The following is a 5565-nucleotide window of genomic DNA, read 5'->3' as shown; positions in this document are numbered from 1 at the left end:
TTTTCTTATCTATATCATCAGGGTTATTGGCTTAAAATTCTCTTTTTTTGTTGTGTCTCTGCTAGGTTTTGGTATCAGGATGATGCTGGCCTCATAAAATGAGTCAGGGAGGATTCCTTATTTTTCTATTGATTGCAATAGTTTCAGAGGGAATGGTATCAGCTCCTCTTTTACCTCTGGTAGAATTCAGCTGTGAATCCATCTGGTCCTGGACTTTTTTTGGTTGGTAGGCTATTAATTATTGCCTCAATTTCAGAACCTGTTACTGGTCTATTCAGAGATTCGACTTCTTCCTGGTTTAGTCTTGGGAGGGTGTATATGTCTAGGAATTTATCCATTTCTTCTAGATTTTCTAATTTATTTGCATAGAGTTGTTTATAGTGTTCTTTGATGGTAGTTTGTATTTCTGTGGGATCTGTGGATGATACCCTCTTTATCATTTTTTATTGCATCTATTTGATTCTTCTCTCTTTTCTTCTTTATTAGTCTTGCTAGTGGTCTATTTTGTTGATCTTTTCAAAAAAGCCAGCTCTGGATTCATTGATTTTTTTGAAGGGGTTTTTGTGTCTCTATCTCCTTCAGTTCTGTTCCGATCTTAGTTATTTCTTGTCTTCTGCTAGCTTTCGAATTTGTTTGCTCTTGCTTCTTTAGTTCTTTTAATTGTGATGTTAGGGTATCGATTTTAGATCTTTCCTGCTTTCTCTTGTGAGCATTTAGTGCTATAAATTTCCCTCTACACACTGCTTTAAATGTGGCCCAGAGATTCAGGTACATTGTGTCTTTGTTCTCGTTGGTTTCAAAGAACATCTTTATTTCTGCCTTCATTTTGTTATTTACCCAGTAGTCATTCAGGAGCAGGTTGTTCAGTTTCCATGTAGGTGTGCGGTTTTGAGTGGGTTTCTTAATCCTGAGTTCTAATTTGATTGCACTGTGGTCTGAGAGACAGTTTGTTGTGATTTCTGTTCTTTTACATTTCCTGAGGAGTGTTTTACTTCCAATTATGTGGTCAATTTTAGAATAAGTGCAATGTGATGCTGAGAAGAGTGTATATTCTGTTGTTGTGGTGGAGAGTTCTGTAGATGTCCGTTAGGTCCACTTCGTCCAGAGCTGAGTTCAAGTCCTGGATATCCTTGTTAATTATCTGTCTCATTGATCTGTCTAATAAAGACAGTGGGGTGTTAAAGTCTCCCACTATTATTGTGTGGGAGTACAAGTCTCTTTGTAGGTCTCTAAGAACTTGCTTTATGAATCTGGGTGCTCCTGTATTGGGTGCATATATATTTAGGATAGTTAGCTCTTCTTGTCGAATTGATCCCTTTACCATTATATAATGGCCTTCTTTGTCTCTTTTGATCTTTGTTGGTTTTAAGTCTGTTTTATCAGAGACTAGTACTGCAAGCCCTGATTTTTTTTTTTTTTTTTGCTTTCCATTTGCTTGGTAGATCTTCCTCCATCCCTTTGTTTTTTATTTATTTATTTATTTTTTGAGATGGAGTTTCACTCATGTTGCCCAGGCTGGAGTGCGATGGCACAATCTTGGCTCACTGCAACCTCTGCCTCCTGGGTTCAAATGATTCTTCTGTCTTAGCCTCCTAAGTAGCTGGGATTACAGGCATGTGCCACAATGCCCAGCTAATTTGGTATTTTTAGTAGAGATGGGGTTTCTCCATGTTGGTCAGGCTGGTCTCGAACTCCTGACCTCAAGTGATCTGCCCACCTCAGCCTCCAAAAGTGCTGGGATTACAGGTGTGAGCCATCGCACCTGGCCCCATCCCTTTATTTTGTGCCTATGTGTGTCTTTGCATATGAGGTGGGTCTCCTGAATACAGCACACAGATGGGTCTTGACTCTTTACTCAATTTGCCAGTCTGTGTCTTTTAATTGGCGGCATTTAGCCCATTACATTTAAGGTTAATATTGTTATGTGTGAATTTGATCCTGTCATTATGATGCTAGCTGGTTATTTTGCCTGTTAGTTGATGCAGTTTCTTCATAGTGGTGATGGTCTTTACAATTTTTAAAGTGGCTTGTACCAGTTGTTCCTTTCAATGTTTAGTGCTTCCTTCAGGATCTCTTATAAGGCAGGCCTGGTGGTGACAAAATCTCTCAGCATTTGCTTGACTGTAAAGGATTTTATTTCTCCTTCACTTATGAAGCTCTTAGTTTGGCTGGATATGAAATTCTGGGTTGAAAATTCTTTTCTTTAAGAATGTTGAATATTGGCCCCCACTCTCTTCTGGCTTGTAGGGTTTCTTCTGAGAGATCCGCTGTTAGTCTGATGGGCTTCCCTTTGTGGGTAACCTGACCCTTCTCTCTGGCTGCCCTTAACATTTTTTCCTTCATTTCAACCTTGGTGAATCTGGCAATTACGTGTCTTGGGGTTGCTCTTCTCGAAGAATATCTTCGTGGTGTTCTCTGTATTTCCTGAATTTGAATGTTGGCCTGCCTTGCTAGGTTGGGGAAGTTCTCCTGGATAATATCCTGAAGAGTGTTTTATAACTTCGTTCCATTCTCCCCGTCATCTGCAGGTACACCAAGCAAACATAGATTTGGTCTTTTCACATTGTCCCATATTTCTTGGACGCTTTGTTTGTTTCTTTTCACTCTTTTTTCTCTAATCTTGTCTTCTCTCTTTATTTCATTAATTTGATCTTCATTCACTGATATCCTTTGTTCTGCTTGATCTATTCAGCTATTGAAGCTTGTGTATGCTTCACAAAGTTCTCATGCTGTGTTTTTCAGCTCCATCAGGTCATTTACTTTCTTCTTTACACTGACTATTCTAGTTAGCCATTCGTCTAACCTTTTTTTTTTTAATGTTTTTAGCTTCCTTGCAAGGGGTTAGAACATGCTCCTTCAGCTCAGAGAAGTTTGTTATAACCCACCTTCTGAAGCCTACTTCTGTCAACTTGTCAAACTCATTCTCCATCCAGTTTTGTTCCCTTGCTGGCAAGGAGTTGTGATCCTTTGGAGGAGAAGAGGCTTTCTGGTTTTTGGCATTTTCATCCTTTCTGTGCTGGTTTCTCCCCACCTTTGTGGTTTATCTACCTTTGGTCTTTGTTGTTGGTGACCTAACGATGAGGTTTTGGTGTGGATGTCTTTTTTGTTGATGTTGATGCTATTCCTTTCTGTTTGTTAGTTTTCCTTCTAACAATCAGGATCCTCAGCTGCAGGTCTGTTGGAGTTTGCTGGAGGTCCACTCCAGACCCTGTTTGCCTGGGTATCACCAGCAGAGGCTGCAGAACAGCAAATATTGTGCCTGATCCTTCCTCTGGAACCTTTGTCCCAGAGGGGCACCTGCCAGATGCCAGCCAGAGCTCTCCTGCATGAGGTGTCTGTTGGCCCCTACTGGGAGGTGTCTCCCAGTCAGGCTACATGGGGGTCAGGGACCCACTTGAGGAGGAAGTCTGTCTGTTATCAGAGCTCGAACTTCATGCTGGGTGAACCATTGCTCTCTTCAGAGCTGTCAGGCAAGGACGTTTAAGTCTGCAGAAGCTGTGCCCACAGCTGCCCTTACCCCAGGTGCCCTATCCCAGGGAGATGAGGGTTTTACCTACAAGTCCCTGACTGGGGCTGCTGCCTTTTGTTCAGATATGCCCTGCCCATAGAGGTGGAATCCAGAGAGGCAGTCAGCCTTGCTGAGCTGTGGTGGGCTCCACCCAATTCGTTCTTCCCAGCAGCTTTGTTTACACTGTGAGCGTAAAACTGCCTACTCAAGCCTCAGCAATGGTGGACGCCCCTCCCCCTGACAAGTTCCAGCACCCCAGGTTGATCTCAGACTGCTGCACTAGCAGCAGGAATTTCAAGCCAATGGATCTTAGCTTGCTGGGCTCTGTGGGTGCGGGACCCACCGAGCCAGGCACCAGAGAGAATCTCCTGTTCTGCCAGTTGTGAAGACCATGGGAAAAGCACAGTATTTGGGCAGGAGCGTACTGTTCCACTTGGTAAAGTCTCTCAAGGCTTCCCTTGGCTAAGAAAGGGAAATCCCCCGACCCCTTGCCCTTCCTGGGTGAGGCAATGCCCCGCCCTCCTTTGGCTCACCCTCTGTGGGGTGCACCAACTGTCCAACCAGTCCCAATGAGATGAATCAGGTACCTCATTTGGAAATGCAGAAATCACCTGTCTTCTGTGTCAGTCTCGCTGGGAGCTGCAGACCAGAGCTGTTCTTATTTGGCCATCTTGCGGGAAATCCTTTCTACTTTTGCATATTAACTTGTCCACTTCTGTCAGATTAGTTACAATTTAAAGTATTTTGCTTATTGTAGAACTAAAGAGATAATAACAACTGATGAGGCAAGATCTAAGCAAGTATGAGGTTTTCTCAGGTTCCTGAAATCATCCCATATGATATTACACCTACTCTGCCTATATGTGACACTTAAGATGTGGAGACATCTGAGATGTCTGAAAAGGAAACATCTGAGAAAGAGATCTCTGAGGCAGAAAGTAACTATTCCTTCCCATGCTGGTAATGTGTCTCAGAAGAAGTGGTCATTAAAATGCTTTTCAATACGCATTTTGAATTTTTCCATTTCAACATTAGATATCCATAAACTCCTCCTTTTTCAGAGGATCATTTCAGAAAAATGAATTTCACAAAATTAACCCCAACAAGAGTGGAAATGAGCTGCTGTTCCTTTGGGCCATGTATTATAGAAATACAAATGCCGAGAATAGATTCTTGGAAAGGGAAGATAGCAAGGTGCTTCACCTATTCATACCCAGGCCAGAGATAATAAAAATAATTAGATAGACTCTTACAGGGATTCTTTACTCTTAATTAGGAGCATAAAAAGAAAACTGAACAGGGTGTATTTGGTCTGAAGATAACAAGCAAAAATTTTCAGGGAAACAGTGAAACTTCTTATCCTGAAAAACGTAAAATTATTCTGAAGAATGTACTGAAAATTATACAATAATAAGTGATATTGCCTTGAAGATATAATGAAACAAATGTATTCACTCTTTTTTCTCTTATATTTGTGACTTAAGAATATATAAAAGTTTGAGTGCTTTTCCACAATAGCCTCTCCAGCCTCAGCTTCTTTCCATCACTGTGCTTCCAGACCTTGCCCTGAGCATTCCATCTGCACCATGTGAAAGACAAGGGGCAGGGACTGGGGGCAGTCCTATTGTGAGTGGATCTAAGGAAGCCTAACTTGTTTGGTAGTTATCATCAACCACAGGTAATTAGCATGTGGGAAACACAACTCCATATAGGATCCCCTCTGGCATGCTCTCCATTTTATTATGAATACAAATCTGGGGTTGTTAATGTGCAATTCCAAACAAATATTTAGTGTTGTTTGTAATTATAGAGCTGTTGAATGTATTTATTTTGTTGTTTAATAGAAAGAAGTCTTGGGAGAGAAGTGTTATAAAAATCATCATGGAGAAATGTTGGTAGTATAATTAGTAAATTATTAGCTACCAGAGGCATTATCATCATTTCACAAATCTTGTAGGACTTACTTTTTGGTTTTAAGTTGCTTTCTTTACAAATCTTGATTCTAGTTTCAAAGGTGCTTGAATCTTGTTCAGAAAACTAGTACTATTCCATAATAT

At 41.1% G+C, this 5565-nt stretch overlaps 1 annotated feature.

The window, feature by feature from the left end:
* Positions 3352 to 3851: an enhancer, noted in NCBI's record as "H3K4me1 hESC enhancer chr12:38902019-38902518 (GRCh37/hg19 assembly coordinates)". NCBI's record gives its function as "activates a minimal SCP1, AML or CMV promoter by ChIP-STARR-seq in naive H9 embryonic stem cells {active_cell/tissue: H9 hESC(naive)}" and the evidence as "EXISTENCE:reporter gene assay evidence [ECO:0000049][PMID:30033119]".

Source organism: Homo sapiens, chromosome 12, assembly GCF_000001405.40.
Source record: "Homo sapiens chromosome 12, GRCh38.p14 Primary Assembly".
Classification (NCBI taxonomy): domain Eukaryota; kingdom Metazoa; phylum Chordata; class Mammalia; order Primates; family Hominidae; genus Homo; species Homo sapiens.
This window is presented reverse-complemented; position numbering and strand designations above follow the sequence as displayed.